The 16,131-nt window shown below is 45.9% G+C and overlaps 1 protein-coding gene across 9 annotated transcripts in view, besides 1 other annotated feature; it reads left to right on the forward strand.

The window, feature by feature from the left end:
• The window catches only part of TRAF5 (TNF receptor associated factor 5), a 48,312-nt gene that overhangs the window by 11,888 nt on the left and 20,293 nt on the right, over nucleotides 1-16,131 (forward strand). For 5 of the 9 annotated variants that reach the window (NM_004619.4, XM_011509960.4, NM_001319207.2 and 2 more), the window contains exons 2-3: nucleotides 14,717-14,935; nucleotides 15,888-15,945. The exons of 2 other annotated variants lie outside the window; for them this stretch is intronic. In NM_004619.4, coding sequence (NP_004610.1) covers nucleotides 14,718-14,935; nucleotides 15,888-15,945 — 276 coding nt within the window. In that variant the 5' untranslated portion in view covers nucleotide 14,717. Of the gene's footprint in view, nucleotides 1-7,841; nucleotides 7,901-14,716; nucleotides 14,936-15,887; nucleotides 15,946-16,131 lie in introns of those variants that run through there. 2 more of the 9 variants (NM_145759.3, XM_011509959.4) reach the window with 1 other exon arrangement.
• Nucleotides 14,858-14,987: a silencer, noted in NCBI's record as "silent region_1785". NCBI's record gives its function as "represses an Ori minimal core promoter by ATAC-STARR-seq in GM12878 lymphoblastoid cells {active_cell/tissue: GM12878}" and the evidence as "EXISTENCE:reporter gene assay evidence [ECO:0000049][PMID:35858748]".

The raw sequence follows: 16,131 nt of genomic DNA on the forward strand, positions 1-16,131 counted from the left end.
CATGGTGATTAAGTGCTTATTTATGTGCCAGGAATTGTGTGATAATAATTTACGTGGATTAATTCATTTAATCTTAACTCCAAGCCTTTGTAGCAGGTACTATTATTGTCTTTTTTTTTGAGACAAGAGTCTCACTCTGTTGTCCAGGCTGGAGTGCAGTGGTGCAGTCTTGGCTCACTGCAGCCCCCACCTCCTGGGTTCAAGCGATTCTCCTGCCTCAGCCTCCCAGGTAGCTGGGATTACAGATGTGTGCCACCATGCCCAGGTAATTTTTATATTTTTAGTAGAGACAGGGTTTCACCATGTTGCCCAGGTTGGTCTCGAACTCCTGAGCTCAGACAATCCGCCTGCCTTGGCCTCCCATATTGTCCCATATTCTAGATGAGGAAGGGGTGACACAGGTAAGTGAATGGCAGAAGGGTTTGAACCCCAGCAGTCTGGCCCCAGAGCTGGTCTCTAACCAGTAAGCGGTACTGCCTGCCATCAAGCCCTCCTGTTTGGTGTTGGCTGCAATGGGGTACATTTTCTCCCAGCTGTGACAGAGTGTAGAGCACTGGCTTCGGAGTCAGAAAGTCTATATTCAAATCCCTGTGCCCACGCACTAGCTGTGTGATTTGGGGAAAGTTGTTTAACAACTTGAGGCCTCGGACTGTTCATTGGGAATATGATGATGATAGCAGTATTGCCACAGGGTTAGTGTGGAACTGTGTATGGTATTATATGTAAAAGTGCAGGCTGGAAATTACTAGTACATGTCAGGTTTTAGTTTTATTGGTATCATCATTATCTTGAGAAACCAAACTGTGGATCTCCTAGGACTAACCAGAAGAGCTGCCAGAGGCCTGCGGATTGCAGCAAATCCAACAGGCCCTGCTTCAACCAGAACAGGTATTCTGTATACTCTTACTTACTGATGTTTCTGCATGAAACTCGGTTTGGTAAGTTTCACTGTGAAACAGTGAAACCCTTGGGTAGCTGATCCCTTAAGTCCTTCCAGAGCTGACAGGCTCAGTTGTGGGGTGGGGGAATCCACTCCCCCAGTTCTACCTACTTCTCTTGGACCTCCTCTCTGGGCTCCCTACCTGCTCTCCCTCTTCTGTTGCCCTGATCAGGCCCTTGAGTCCCAACAGCCTGAGGGCTGCATTTTTTAAACCAGACTCTAGGATGCCTGCCTGTATGTGGGCAGGGCACCTGGGGTGTGCCTGGGGTGTGTCTGGGGTAGCCCTCCGCCAGGAAGCGTCTCTCGTCTGCTTCCTCTGTGGACTGGGCCAGAGCTGGCCTTGCTGTCAGGCGGGAGGGAATTGCCCTGTGTGCCTCTCACAACATGTACCCCAGCCACAGTCCTCCCAGCTCTGGGTAGTAGGCAGCTGGCAGTATGTCACACATCTGAGGTCAGCTTTGGAAATATAAACTTACACAAAGTCAGCTGTGGATGAGCATTTGTGGGAAGGTGGGGCACCGCTAGAATGATGTTGACCTTTGGTAGCTAAAAGTCACCAAAAGGTCATGCCACGGTTTCTAAATACTCATTGGCATTTCTGTTCTGTAGCCCGTCTAGGGTGGTCTCAGGTTTCTCCCCTTTCTTCAGAGTACCCTGAGGCCATGGAGGGTGGGGCTGGGCAAAGCCTGGGCTCAGTCCTCATTTGAAAATATTCCTGAATTCCAAGCTAAATCTAAACAGTTGTCTGTTGGCTGTGCATCCAAGCTCGAGGGGCCCCTGGAGCCTCATTCACTTTACGAGTGTTTGTGCTCTTTGTACTTGTTTTTGTTTTTGTTTTTTGAGATGGAGTCTTGCTCTGTCACCCAGGCTGGAGTGCAGTGGCACAATCCCGGCTCACTGCAACTTCCGCCTCTTGGGTTCAAGTGATTCTCCTGCCTCAGCCTCCCGAGTAGCTGGGATTACAGGTGTGCACCACCACGCCCAGCTTTTTGTATTTTTAGTAGAGATGGGGTTTCGCCATGTTGGCCAGGCTGCTCTTGAACTCCTGACCTCAGGTGATCCACCCACCTCGGCCTCCCAAAGTGCAGGAATTATAGGTGTGAGCTGTTGGGAAAAAGCTGAGTGTTGGGAGGGAAACTGAGGCAGGGCTTGCATAATGTCTTCGGGAATATGTCTAGACTTTCTGGCTCCTTGCTTCTAGCCCTCCTAGGCTCCTATTCCCATTATCTCAAGTAGCAGAACATGTTCCATATAAATGCTAAACCATCACAGCTGTAAATCATGTGCTTAATGCAACGTGTCCTTTTGACCTCCACATTCTTACCACCTGTTTCTCTGTTGGATTACCAATAAGTAGCGTGGGCTCCCAGAGCTGGCGGTCTTCGCAGCCTCCACAATCGCGATGGCCCTCTGGTGTCCCACCTTTATCTCTCAAACTGTCTTTTTCTCAGTCCTTTGACTCTGCTGGACTTTGTCACCCCCACGACCTGGTGCTGGGTCTGATCACCCCAACAGTGAGCCACCGCGCCTGGCCTCTTTGTACCTTCTTTGTAAGCAAGGAGGATGGTCAGGAAGGGGGAAGGGGGAGAGAAGTGTGAGTCTGAGATGACAGCCCCATAGCTCCATGCAGTGGGCACACCCACCCCCATTTGGGAATGTAGTTGAGGTGGCAGTAGGTAGCCTTTCCAATGAGGAGAAGCCTTTCCAATGAGGAGAAGTTCTTGAGCTGAGTCAAGAACAAAGGGCAGAAGGCTGACCTAGCTTTGGGGAACCCTGCAGGAGTGGAATGCTGACAAGGAGCCACCAAGAGGTGTGGTTCAGAGCTGGGAGGAGAACCAACAAACACAGAACCCTAGGGCCAAGGGATCAGGGAGTTTCAAGAAGGAAGTGCCAAATGTCACATAAAGGGCAGGAGGGCAGTGATTTAGGAGAGACTAGTCAGCAAATGTGATGATGTGATTACAGTTTAGATCATCAAACTAACATAATATGCTTTCCCAGGCTGTATATGGCCTCATATACCACATGCCCAGATGATTTGGGCCTGCCGACTTATTCCAGGTAGAGTACAGATAAGCTTGGGAGGGCCAGGGAGGCTTCAGAGAGGCACTGATGGGATCTGATAAAGGACACAGGTCTGTGGGTGCCACCTGGAAGGTGTGTTTCCATCGGGCATTGCTCTGGAGCTGGGAATGGGAAGGAGAGAGGGGAGAAAGAGGTTGATGGGGCATTGCCGGGCTGAGGATGGAGAATGGGCCAGAGCTCCAGGGGGTGGGGAATTTGGGCCCATGTGCTGCATTTTTGTTTCCTCATCAGTGTCTGCCTATGGTAGGTTCCCAGCAAAGAAATGATTTACAAAAAGTGACTGAATCAATAAATGTTTAGCGCGAGATAGTCCAGTGTAACCATGAATTCAAAATTGGGTGAAATGAGAAGGCAAATAGCATGTCAGGCAGTCAGGTTATCTCAGAGTGGGGGACATTGATGGAGAGACTCAGGGGCAAGTGCTTATTAATAATAGCCCTTATGACACCTCTGTGTACTACCACTATAAGTTCTTCATGCATAGAGGGGTCAGCAAACTTCTTCTGTAAAGAACCAGGTAGTAACTGTGTATTTGAGGCCTTGTGGGCCATATGGTCTGTGGGGCAACTGCTCAGCTCCTCTGTGGTAGCACATAAACAACCATAGACAATATGTAAATGAATGAACATGGCTGTGTTCTAATAAAACTTTATTTACAAAACATGTGATGGGCCAACCCCTGATGTATATAGTATTGACGTATTTAATCTTAAGAAGTTCTATGTGGTAACTACTGTTATTATCACCATTTTATTTTGTTTTTTGATATATTTTTCTTTTTTTTGAATTGTGATAAGTCCTACTTTTTTATTTTTATGGGTGTGTATTAGGTGTATATTGGCTACATGAGATATTTTGATATGGGCATACAATGCATAATAATCACATCAGGGTAAATGGGGTATCCATTATCTCAAGCATGTATCATTTCTTTGTGTTACAATCATCCCAATTCTTTTAGTTATTTTTAAATGTACAATAAATTATTGTTGACTATAGTCACCCTGTTATCAAATACTAGATTGTATTCTATACGATTATTCTGACTATATTTTTGTACTCATTAATCATCCCCACTTCCTCTACCCAACACTTCCCCCACCCCACAACTACCCTTCCCAGCCTCTAGTAACCATCCTTCTACTCTCTGTCTCCATAAGTTCAATTGTTTTAATTTTTAGCTCCCACAAACAAGAACATGTGAAGCTTGTCTTTCTGTGCCTGGCTTATTTCACTTAACATAATGTCCTCTAGTTCCATCTATGTTGTTGCAAGTGATAGGATCTTGTTCTTTTCTATGACTGAATATTGTGTATAGGTACCACATGTTCTGTATCCATTCATCTGTTGATAGATGCTTAGGTTGCTTCCAGATCTTGGTTCTTCAGTGTTGCAGTAAACATGAGAGGGCAGATGTGTCTTCAATATTCTGATTTCCTTTCTTTTGAATATATACCTAGCAGTGGGATTGCTGGATCATATGTAGTTCTGTGTTTAGTTTTCTGAGGAACCTCCATACCGTTCTTCATAGTGGCTGTACTAATTTACATTCCTACCAACAGTGTATGAGGGTTCCCTTTACTCCATGTCCTGTCCAGCATTTCATTATCATCGTTTTACAGATGAGGAAACGGAGAAACATAGCGACTAAGTAATTTGCCTGAGGTCACGTGGCTATGAAGGGGTATGGGCAGGATATGAATCCAGGCAAGTCTACTCCAGAGTTCATGCTGGTAATTGTCATGCCATGCTGACTCTTGGAACCTTGGAGGGGCAGGGAGGAACCCCAGCTCTTCATCCCCTGAGGGCCTCCACCACTACCTGGCAGTAGGAGCTCACTAGGCCTCCATTTCCTCATTTTAAAAAAAGGGGAATAATGATAATATATATATCATATCATATATCACCCTGTCTCCTACGCTGGAGTGCAGTTGTGCCATCATAGCTCACTGTAGCCTTGACCTCCTGGGCTCAAGCAATCCTCCCACCTCAGCCTCCGGAATGGCTGGGATTACAGGTTTGAGCCACCACACCTGGCTGAGGGGTTAAAATGAGCTAATGCATATAATTAGCTGTCTCTGTGCTTGGACATAGCCTCAGTACTTGTAATCCTAACCCATATCTGACTCCAGCCTTAGGCTCCATTCACTTCTTTTAATACCCTTCTCTTGCCCTCTGCCTCAATCGGAACTCTCCTAGATTGTCTTCACGGCCCTTTCTCACTGTGGCCTCACAGTGACTCGGAGTTTCCACACTGATTATTGAGTCATCTGAGTTATTGGGTACTCTGGCCTGGGGACTAATGGGAGCTCGAGGAACTGTCCCTAGGTAGCAGTGGGGACTGTTACAGAGCTGGAGCCAAGGATGGGGGCTTCCTAGTGGAGAACAAGGCTTCCTAGTGGAGAAAGCTGCTGTGTGGGAAGATCAGTAGAGCTTTCTTTGTTATTTTTTCCTCTTGGTCTGGTTTCTGAGAGCAAATCTAAAGGTCTCCTGGATACCTTAAAAGTACCACCTGGAGTCAGGTAGACTCTACATGGTTCTGAGGAGAAGAGTTCCACTAAAGGCATCTCTGTAAGTGGGACTGACTTGAGGCAGCAGCAGCTTTCGTCAGGCCAGCATGGGTGTGCAGCCTGGAGGGTTGGGGGAAGAGGGATGCCCTTCAGCCTTTGCACTCCCATCTACTCACTGTCAGTGCTTGCTGTACCGCCAGGAGAATGGGGAACCAGAGGTTTCCTGACAACTTGGAGAGAAGTCACAGTTCTCTTTAAAGTAATTAAAATTATACTCACATCATTGTTTGTCCTGTTCCCAAGACAACTTCCTTCTGTGAAGACATAAGGAAAAGCAAAGAAAACATACCCTTATCTCTGCCTCTAAGACATCAAAGCCAGTCATCCTGGGGCAAGAACAGTGCGTCGGTGGACTGTGGTCACATGTTGTCTGGTTGTCGTGGTGTCACCTGGTCTCTGCATGAGCTCCCAGCCACATTAGGTGTAATGGAAAATGGCCTTATTGGTTCTCCCTTTCTCCAAGGCCTTCGTCTTTGACCTGCCTGGTTAAAGGGGTTTCTTCTTCAGTTTTTGAGGGAAGGCCTCTTTAGGCCATCACAGACAGAAGCTTTGGAAAAACTGTGAGACCATTTCAGTTCTCCTTTGTGCCAGGAGGATAGCCTAACAGATAAAGTGCTTTCTCCTCCTTCGTTTTCCTTTCCTTTTTTAAGTTAAGGTCTTTCTCTGTCGCCCAGGGTGGAGTGCAGTGGCGTGAACAATGAACACGGCTCACTGCAGCCTCGACCTCCCAGGCCCAAGCGATCCTCCTGCCACAGCCCCCCAAGTCGCTGGGACTACAGGCGTGCACCACCACACCCTGCTAATTTTATTTATTTATTTATTTAGAGACATAATTTTGCTCTTGTTGCCCAGTCTGGAGTGCAATGGTACAATCTCGGCTCACCGCAGCCTCCTGGGTTCAAACGATTCTCCTGCCTTAGCCTCCCAAGTAGCTGGGATTACAGGCATGCGCCACCATGCCCAGCTAATTTGTATTCTTAGTAGAGACAGGATTTCTCCATGTTGGTCAGGCTGGTCTTGAACTCCCGACCTCAGGTGATCTACCCACCTCGGCCTCCCAGAGTGCTGGGATTACAAGCATGAGCCACTGCACCTGGCCAACTAATTTTTGTATTTTTTGTAGAGATGGGGTTTTGCCATGTTGCCCAGGCTGGTCTCATACTCCTGAGCTCAAGCAATCTTCCTGCCTCGGCCTCTCAAAGTGTTGGGATTACAGGCTTGAGCCACTGTGCCAGCCCTGCGCTCCCCCCCCCTCCTTTTTTTTTGCTTCCTGGTAGTAACTGTTCTTCCTGGAAGAGCAGAATCACAGGATTCAACGCCAGCCATGACCTTGAGAGAGAACTGCCGATCCTAGCAGGAGAGCATCTGGAACCCACCGAGGGCATGGATTCCAGAGACCCGTTGGGTCACTGCATCTTGGGATTGAACATTTTAACTTTTCTTTATCACCAGCCACAGTCTCTCCTCTTTAAGCCCAGGACCCATTGGTGGGCCTTGGGTGGGTTTGGGGAATAACATATTTGTATCCTTCCCATGCTGCTCAAGTGGGTATTAGGCAGTTGACCAACACTGCCAGCAAGACCTGAGCAGAGCTGAGAAATGGACAGTTTGCCTTCTGGCAGCCTGTCCACAGAGAGAGGGGCCATCTGGTGTCATTAGAGCCATGGAGGAGCACCAGTCACTGTTGAGATGCTGCCCAGCACCCAGGGATCGGGGAGAGATCCCCTGGCTTGCCCCTCTTCCCACTCTTCCCATCCCAGTGCCTCTCATTGGCTGAACCTAACCAGAAGCCAGGGAGCCTGGAAAACAGTTTGCGGCATCAAATTTCACCCTACCTCATGCTGCAGAGCTAAGCAGAGCAAGAGTAGGGGGTGGATCTGGGCAAACAGGCAAATGACTGGCATGTTCCCTTAATTCCACTTCAGCTACAGTTAATTGCTAACCATTCTAGAACTTTTGTGATAGCAGGAAATTCTTTAACCTCCTTCATCTAGAAAATGCCTCCTCTTTCTTCAAGACCAGCTGAGATGATTTCTTCTCTGTGAAATCAGCACAGACACCTCAGAAATTGTTAGCTACCCCTCACCTAGGCTGTACCAGTTCTTTGTCGAAATCTCTGTTTGTGGTACTTGCCAGTGGGATATTGTAATTGATCATTTTTGTGCCTTATTTCTTCTGTCCTTGGAGGGACTCAAGGGCAGATGCAACGTCACAGCCTCTGCATTCTCAGGACCTAACCCAGGATCAGTGCAGGGATGTGCAGATGAGTGGGCTGTGGGGTGTCCTGCTCACGGTTTCATGGATGGTGAGTGGCAGAGCAGAGACAGAGGTCTCTGGTCCTGTGCCCTTTTCACTCTGGGATTTTATCTGTAGTAATCAGTAATTCCCCAAGAATCAGAACTTGAAAACCCTGAAGACAAATTTTGTGGACTTATGTCTTATGCACTATAACATAATATATTTAAAAATTCCCCAGTTTTTCAAATCTTCATTAATCCAAACTGGATGTTGGCAGGGGTATGGAGGTGGTATGGATAGACAGAGCAGGATCTACCTTTCTTTGTTAAACCTTAAACTCTGCAAAATACATATCTTTTTTGTTATAACTGAAGGCTAAGCTCACGTTGCTTCAGAATGTGAGAATATTTGTCATATGTTCTCCAGAAATGAATCCGTAGAGATACGTAAGTAAAGAATGTAAATGGTGGCATCCACAGCTTTCCTTTGGAATTCCTAAAAAATTCTCATGGAAAAGATGCATCAATTTATGAAACAAGAAGATGGCATTTCAAAGAAACTCAACAAGAGTTCTTAGGGAATAGATGGGATGTGACTTTCTTTTGTCTCTTTTGGCTTGAGTTAACAACTCTTCAGTAGGAGTACCACACTGTACATCCCATTGATGGCAAGAATACGAATGCCATTGACTGCAGAAAGGTGATATATAAGCTCTATTTTTAGCAGTTTTGATATGTTTTTTTTTTCCTGACTTGCAAGAACTGAGCTGCTTTGTTGTTCCTGTTACGTAAGCTGTTATACACAGAGGGGAAAGATTTTAATAAAATGGAGTGCTTACTCATTTCCACTAAATAGCTGCCTGGGAATGACAGAATACCAGCTGAAAGTATCTAATTAATTAGATAAATATATTTGTTAGGTAAAGAAGCATAGCCTTTCTAGTTCTGCTGTTGGGCTCTCTCATGTCAGTGAACAAAGTGGGTCCAGGCTTGAGGAAGCTTCAGAAGGAGACGGATCCTGCCCTGGGAGGCATCACAGCTCTGTTTATATACTAGAACCTCACCCAGAAAGACACCTCAAGTCCACATCTCATGGCCGAACATAAATGCTTATTTTTCTACAATGTGTTATGAGATTAAAAACCCAATTTCATAAAAACAAATAGTGGACAAGACAATAACCGATTAGAGAGTGAACAAGGTCAGTGAATGACTTAGGCCTGTTGAATAGGTCTGGGAAATACACACATGGATGGGGAGAGGAAGGATGGGGCATTCAGTCCTCTGCTGGCTGTTCAGCAGGAGCAAGGAGACTGTGAGAGTCACATGTGCTGTGTCTGCCAGGACAAAGCTGACAAGACATGGGCCCACACAGCCATCTAATAGAGCAGTGGTTTCCAAAGTGTGCTTCAAGGGCCCCTGGGGTGCTGGAGCAGCTCTTACTAGGAAGTCACTTAATGGACTCTTACTTCAGGTGAGTTCAGGTAAGAGCCAATTGTGTGCATCTCTTTCCCAGTTCCAGTTCAGTGACCTTTTTCATTGTTACCTTGAAATTAGCCATAGTGGAAGTGTTTAACCACAGAAATCGGCAAATGCTACAAGCTGGAGCTTTCCCCCAGTTGAGCAGATTATTAAATGTTTACTAGCACAGCACTGCTTGGGGCTCCCTGACACACTTTCAGGGGATCTGCATGGTCAAAACTATTTTCATAATAGTACTGACATCGTTTGCCATTTGTACTCTCCTTTTACAAATGCACAGAGATGTTTCCCTGAAGCTAAATGATATATGATATGCAACAGACTGAATGTAGGAGCAGACATGAGAATCCAGCTATCTTCTATTAAGCAACACATTAAAGAGATGTGCAAACATGTAAAATGGTGGCACTCTTCTCACTAATTCTTTTGTTTTGGAAAATGGTTATTTTTCATAAAAATATTTGTATTAACATATAATTGGCTTATTATCTTGAAGTAAATACTTTTAAAATTCCTCAATTTGACTCTCAAGTATGGTAAATATGAATAGATATAATTTGCGTAAACAAAAACTCTTAGGGGTCCTCCATTAAAAAAAGACAAGATTTTCTTTTAGAGCAGTTTTAGGTTCACAGCAAAATTGAATGGAAGTCTGTTTATCCATTCTTTCTTTCACGGATTGTGCCCTTGGTGTTGTACCTAAAAAGTCATTGTCAAACTCAAGATCCTCTAGATTTTATCCTGTGTTATCTAGTAGGAGTTTTATAGTTTTGCATTTTACATTCATGTCTGTGATCCATTCTGAGTTAATTTTTGTGAAGGGTGTCAGGTCTGTGTCTAGCTTCATTTTCTGTTGTAGATGTCCAGTTGTCCCAGCACCATTTGTTGAAAAGATTATCTTTGCATCATTGTTTTGCCTTTGGCCTTTTGCCAAGGGTCAGTTGACTATATTTATGTGGATCTATTTCTGGGCTCTTTATTCTCTATATTCTTTATAATCAAGTATAATAAGTTTTGAAGTTGGGTAGTGTCCATCCTATGGATCTTTGGCTCCTCAAGTTTTAAGAGTGTTATCTTAGACCAGGTGCTGTGGCTCATACCTATAGTAATCCCATTGCTTTGGGAGGCTGAGCTGAAAGGATTGCTTGTGGCCAGGAGTTCAAGACCAGGCTGGGCAACATAGTGAGACTCTGTCTCTAAAAAAAAAAAAAAAAAAAAAAAATTAGCCAGGCGTGGTGGCACGCACCTGTAGTCCTAACTACTGGGGAGGTTTAGGTGGAAGGATCACTTGAGCCCAGGAGTTGGAGGTTACAGTGAGCCATGGTTACACCACTGCACTCCAGCCTGGGCTACAGAGTGAGACCCTGTCTCTGAAAAGAAAGAAAAAACAAGAGTGTTATCTTAGTCTGTTTGTGTTGCCATCACAAAATACCTCAGACTGGGTAATTTATAAAGAACAAAAATGTATTTCTCACAGTTCTGAAGGCTGAGAAGTCCACAATCAAGACACCAGCAGATTCCGTGTCTGGTGAGGGCTCACTTTCTGCTCCCAAGATGGCAGCTTATTGCTGCATCCTCCAGAGATGAACACTGTCCTTACATGGGGAAAGTTGGAAGGGCAAAATAACCTAGCTAGTTCCTTTGAGCCCATTTTAAGGTCACTGGTCCCATCCGTGGATACAAAGCCCTCATGACTTAATCACCTCCTAAAGGTCCCACCTCTTAATACTATCACACTGGACCTTAGGTTTCAATATACGAATTTTGGGGGGGACACATACATTCAAATCATAGGGGGTCCAGAGACCGAAAAGTTGGAGAACTACTGTTGTAGCAAAAGATGGACATACACACAGATGAGTGCCATAGATTCTTGTGTTAGGGAGAGTGCAGAGTGTAGTGGAGGGAACCTGAACTGAGTTTTGTACATCCTACTGCCTTATTCTGGGGACTGAATGAGCCTGTTGCTTTAGGATACATCTCTGAGAGTCCAAATTTAGATACTGTGTGACAGACTTGGGCCTGGCCTCAGAAGAGAATCTCAGAAGGACATAGAATATGACATCAGGGCACAGGATGCGAAGTGCCAACCTCCGCAGGAATGAGGGAACACAAGGCAGAGCAGGGCAGTTTGAAAGTGGTTCTTCCAGTTCTCTGAGAGAAAGGTGGGGCTTGGTTATTAGGGCTGTGCATGTAAATAAAATGTTTTGCCTCTTCATCTTCAGAATTAAAACTTTTGTTAAATCCCAAGAGTCAACCATGTTACAGGAGGGAACATTTGTATCTTATACTGCTTACCTACCACCCTTGAAGTTTTGCAGGAAACACTAGGGAAAAGGTGGAGCTTTGGTCTCAAACCCCAGGCTTTTTTTTTTTTCTTTCTTTTTTTTTTTTGAGACAGGGTCTCTCGCCCTGTCACCCGGGCTGGAGTGCAGTGGCATAATCATGACTCGCTGTGGCCTCCACCTCCCAGGCTCAAGTGATCCCCCCCTGCCTCAGCCTCCCAGGTAGCTTGTGCGAAGGCCCTGTGGCATAGAGTGTGGTGTATTAGAAGAACAAAAACAAAAACAAAAACAAAAACAAAAACCCTGTGTGGCTGGAGTACGGAAAGCCAGGAAAGAGAGGTCCAGGATGGTGCTGTACTGGGGAGGATACAGTCTTGAGCCTGCTTAGCATTGTGGACTTTCTCTCAGAACCTGGGAAGCCACTAAAAGATGAAGGGAGATAACCTAACATTGTACTTGACATTTTGAAAGTCTCATCCTGGCTATAGTATGGAGAGTAGATTGGAGAAGAAAGCAATTAATGAACTCATATTTAGTTCAGGTGAGAAATGATGTGGCTTGGTACTTGTCTTAGCTTGGGCTGCTATAAGAAAGCACCATAGACTAGGTAGCTTATAAACAACAGAGGTTTCTGACAGTTCTGGAAGCTGAAAGCCCAATATCAGCGTGCCAGTGTGGTTGGGTTCTGATGAGGTCCCTCTTCCGGGCTGCAGACTTAACTGCTGTATCATCACATGGCAGCAAGAGGGCCAGGGACCTCTCTGGCCTCTTTAGAGAGGAGGTCTCGCCATGTTGCCTGGGCTAGACTCGAACTCCTAGGTTCAAGCCATCTTCCCACCTCAGCCTCCTGAGTAGCTGGGACTACAGGTGTGCACCACCATTCCCTGCTCTCTCTGTCTCTGGCCTCTTCTTTTTTTTTTTTTTTTTTTGAGACGGAGTCTTGCTCTGACACTGGAGTGCAGTGGCGCCATCTCAGCTCACTGCAATCTCTGCCTCCTGGGTTCACGCCATTCTCCTGCCTCAGCCTCCCAAGTAGCTGGGACTACAGGCACCTGCCACCACGCCTGGCTAATTTTTTGTATTTTTAGTAGAGACGGGGTTTCACCGCGTTAGCCAGGATGGTCTCTATCTCCTGACCTCATGATCCGCCTGCCTCAGCCTCCTAAAGTGCTGGGATTATAGGCATGAGCCACTGCGTCCAGCCTTCTCTGGCCTCTTCTTATAAGGGCACTAATCCCATTCATGAGGGCTCCACTCTCATGACTTCATTACCTGCCAAATGCCCACCTCCTAATACTGTCACATGGGGGGTTAGAATTTCCACATATAAATTTTGGGAGGAATACAAACATTCGATCTACCGCAATGGCAGTGATAGATACTGTGAGTAATATATTTGTGTGCAAGGAGTCATTGCCAAACTCAAGATCATCTAGATTTTATCCTATGTTATCTAGTAGGAGTTTTATAGCTTTGCATTTTATGTTTATGTCTGTGATCCATTCTGAGTTCATTTTTGTGAAGGGTGTCAGGTCTGTGTCTAGCTTCGTTTTCTGATGTGATGTCCAGTTGTCCCAGCACCATTTGTTGAAAAGACTTATCTTTGCATAATTGTTTTGCCCTTTCTCCTTTGTCAAAGGTCAGTTGACTGTATTTATGTGGGTCTATTTCTGGGTTGTCTATTCTGTTCCCTGGATCTATTTGTCTGTTCTTTTGATAGTACTACACTGTCTTGATTACTGTAGCTTTATAATAAGTTTTGAAGTTGAGTAGTGTTAGTCCTCCAGCTTTGTTCTTCTCCTTCAATATTGTGTTGCTGTGTTGGGTCCTTGGCTCCACAGGTTTTAACAGTGTTATCTTAGGCCAGGTGTGGTGGCTTACCCAGTACTTTGGGAGGCTGAGCCACAAAGATCACTTGTGTCCAGGAGTTCAAGACCAGGCTGGGCAGCATAGTGAGACCCTGTCTGTGGTAGTCCGTTTTCATGCTGCTGATAAAGACATACCCAAGACTGGGCAATTTATAAAAAAGAGAGGTTTAATGGACTTACAGTTCCATGTGGCTGCAGACGCCTCACAATCATGGCAGAAGGCAAGGAGGAGCAAGTCACGTCTTACATGGATGGCAGTAGGCAAAATGAGAGAGAGCTTGTGCAGGGAAACTCCACCTTATAAAGCCATCAGATCTCATGAGACTTATTCACATGAGAACAGCACAGGAAAGACCATGATTATATTACCTCCCACTGGGTCCCTCCCACAATATGTGGGAATTCAAGAGGAGACTTGGGTGGGGACACAGCCAAACCATGTCACTGTCTCTAAAAAAAAAAAAAAAAAAAAGTTTTTTTTTTTTTTTAATTGGCCTGGTGTGGTGGTGTGTGCCTGTAGTGCCTGTAGTCCCAGCTACTGGGGAGGGATCAGTTGAGCCCAGGAATTGGAGATTACAGTGAGCCATGATCACACCACTGGCCTCCAGCCTGGGCTACAGAGTGAGACCTTGTCTCTGAAAAAAAGAAAAAAAGTATTAGTCTGTTTGTGCTGACGTAACAAAATACCTCAGACTGGGTAGTTTATAAAGAACAGAAATTTATTTCTCATAGTTCTGGAGGCTGGGAAGTCCAAGTTCAAGACACCAGCATGTTCAATGTCTGGTAAACGCTTGCTCTGTGCTTCCAAGATGGTGAGAAATATATTTGTCTGCTTCTAAAAATTTTAACAAAACCTGTGTTTCCATTCTCTCATTGAGTGGAAGAAAAATTCCTAACAGTTTACTTATAATGTAATTAACACACCTGGCTATATTTTGTCCAAGCATATGGCCAAACTGACAGGGTAATTTAGCACCCTGTAAAAGACTGATGGACAAAGAACTGAATCTCGTAGAATCTTGCTAGAAGTCATCTGGTCCAGCCTCTAACCTGAGCACCCCAAAGACATTGCACCTTTGCCGGAGCCCCCTAGTGGCAGGAGGTTGTCACTGTTGTTTCAGAGTCACAACAGAATGACCATGTGAATGATGTACACTAATTATGAGACAAATAACCAAAGCATCTGATGGCTGTGGTTGTTTCAGTGTTTGCACACTTAATTTTCCCTCTCCTCCCCTGACCTCTGCAGAATGGCTTATTCAGAAGAGCATAAAGGTATGCCCTGTGGTTTCATCCGCCAGAATTCCGGCAACTCCATTTCCTTGGACTTTGAGCCCAGTATAGAGTACCAGTTTGTGGAGCGGTTGGAAGAGCGCTACAAATGTGCCTTCTGCCACTCGGTGCTTCACAACCCCCACCAGACAGGATGTGGGCACCGCTTCTGCCAGCACTGCATCCTGTCCCTGAGGTGAGTGGGCAGGGCCTGCAACTCTGGCCATGGCAGTCCTAGCATCCAGGTGGCAACTGTGGCCACTCAACTGTTTTCATGGGTTTTGGAGTTGTTTTACTTGGCCACAGAACCATGACTGTAAGGAAGGACTCTCCCAGATCCCCTCTGTGAGGGCCTGAAGAATAATCATTTTTTGGTCACTAATTTACAGATATTTACCTTTTCTTAAAATTCAGACTGTACCTGCTTTGCATGGGACAGCAGACCTAGACACACACTCCATCATGGGAGCTGGCTGTGGAGAAGGGCTTGAATCTCACAATGTCTGTGTTGTAGTCACCCCAATCTTCCCTTGCCTTGAGGCAGAGGTGCTGTGGCACCTAGAAGGGACCTTGCTGCCATGGATGCTGTCCACTCCTGGGCAGCTGTAAGACCTGGGTCATACTGTGTTGAGGGAGGATACCAGGAGAGATGTGGAAGCAGGTACACTTTGGGGGGTTATATAGGAAGCAAGGCAGTCATTTTACCCTGCCAAGCTTTGAAAGGGGGTTATTACAGCACATCCTCATTCCCTCATGTGTTTGTGCCTTCAGCACCTGTGTGTTCTGTGCTGTCATGCTGAAGAGCTACAATGTGGAACAGGACCCCATGTCTGCCCTCTAGAATGTCCCAGTCTAGAGGAGACAAATGTGGCACAGCGTGATAAACAAAGGACAGGGGGCATTCAGCTCTGTCCAGGGACTCACTGACTGCATCCCAGAGGTTGCATGAAGTTTTTCAGGCAAACTGAAAGAACAGGAAGGTGCTGAAGGAGGGGTACAGGAGGCCCCTTCTGGGTAGAGGGAACAGCATGTGCAGACAGGGACCAGCCTGCCCAGGGCTAGAGCATGGCTGGAGCCCTGGGGCTGGTCTTGGAAATGCTGTTGAGGTAAACAACTAACTCTGGCTCCATTTTAATTTTTTTCTCCAGAGAATTAAACACAGTGCCAATCTGCCCTGTAGATAAAGAGGTCATCAAATCTCAGGAGGTAAGAAAGTCACTGCTTTTGTCTAGCAGCTCTCAGGGTGATGGAGAAGAAGTCAGTGAATTGGACATTGAGATAGGAGCAGGAGAGTGGTCGAGGGAGACCTTCCTTGGAGTCCATATTCTTCTGCTGTGGGGTCACATCAGACCCTACTCGTAGCCCTGTTTGAGAGGCTTGTTTGGGTCTTTA

This window comes from Homo sapiens, chromosome 1 (genome assembly GCF_000001405.40).
Source record: "Homo sapiens chromosome 1, GRCh38.p14 Primary Assembly".
NCBI lineage: Eukaryota > Metazoa > Chordata > Mammalia > Primates > Hominidae > Homo > Homo sapiens.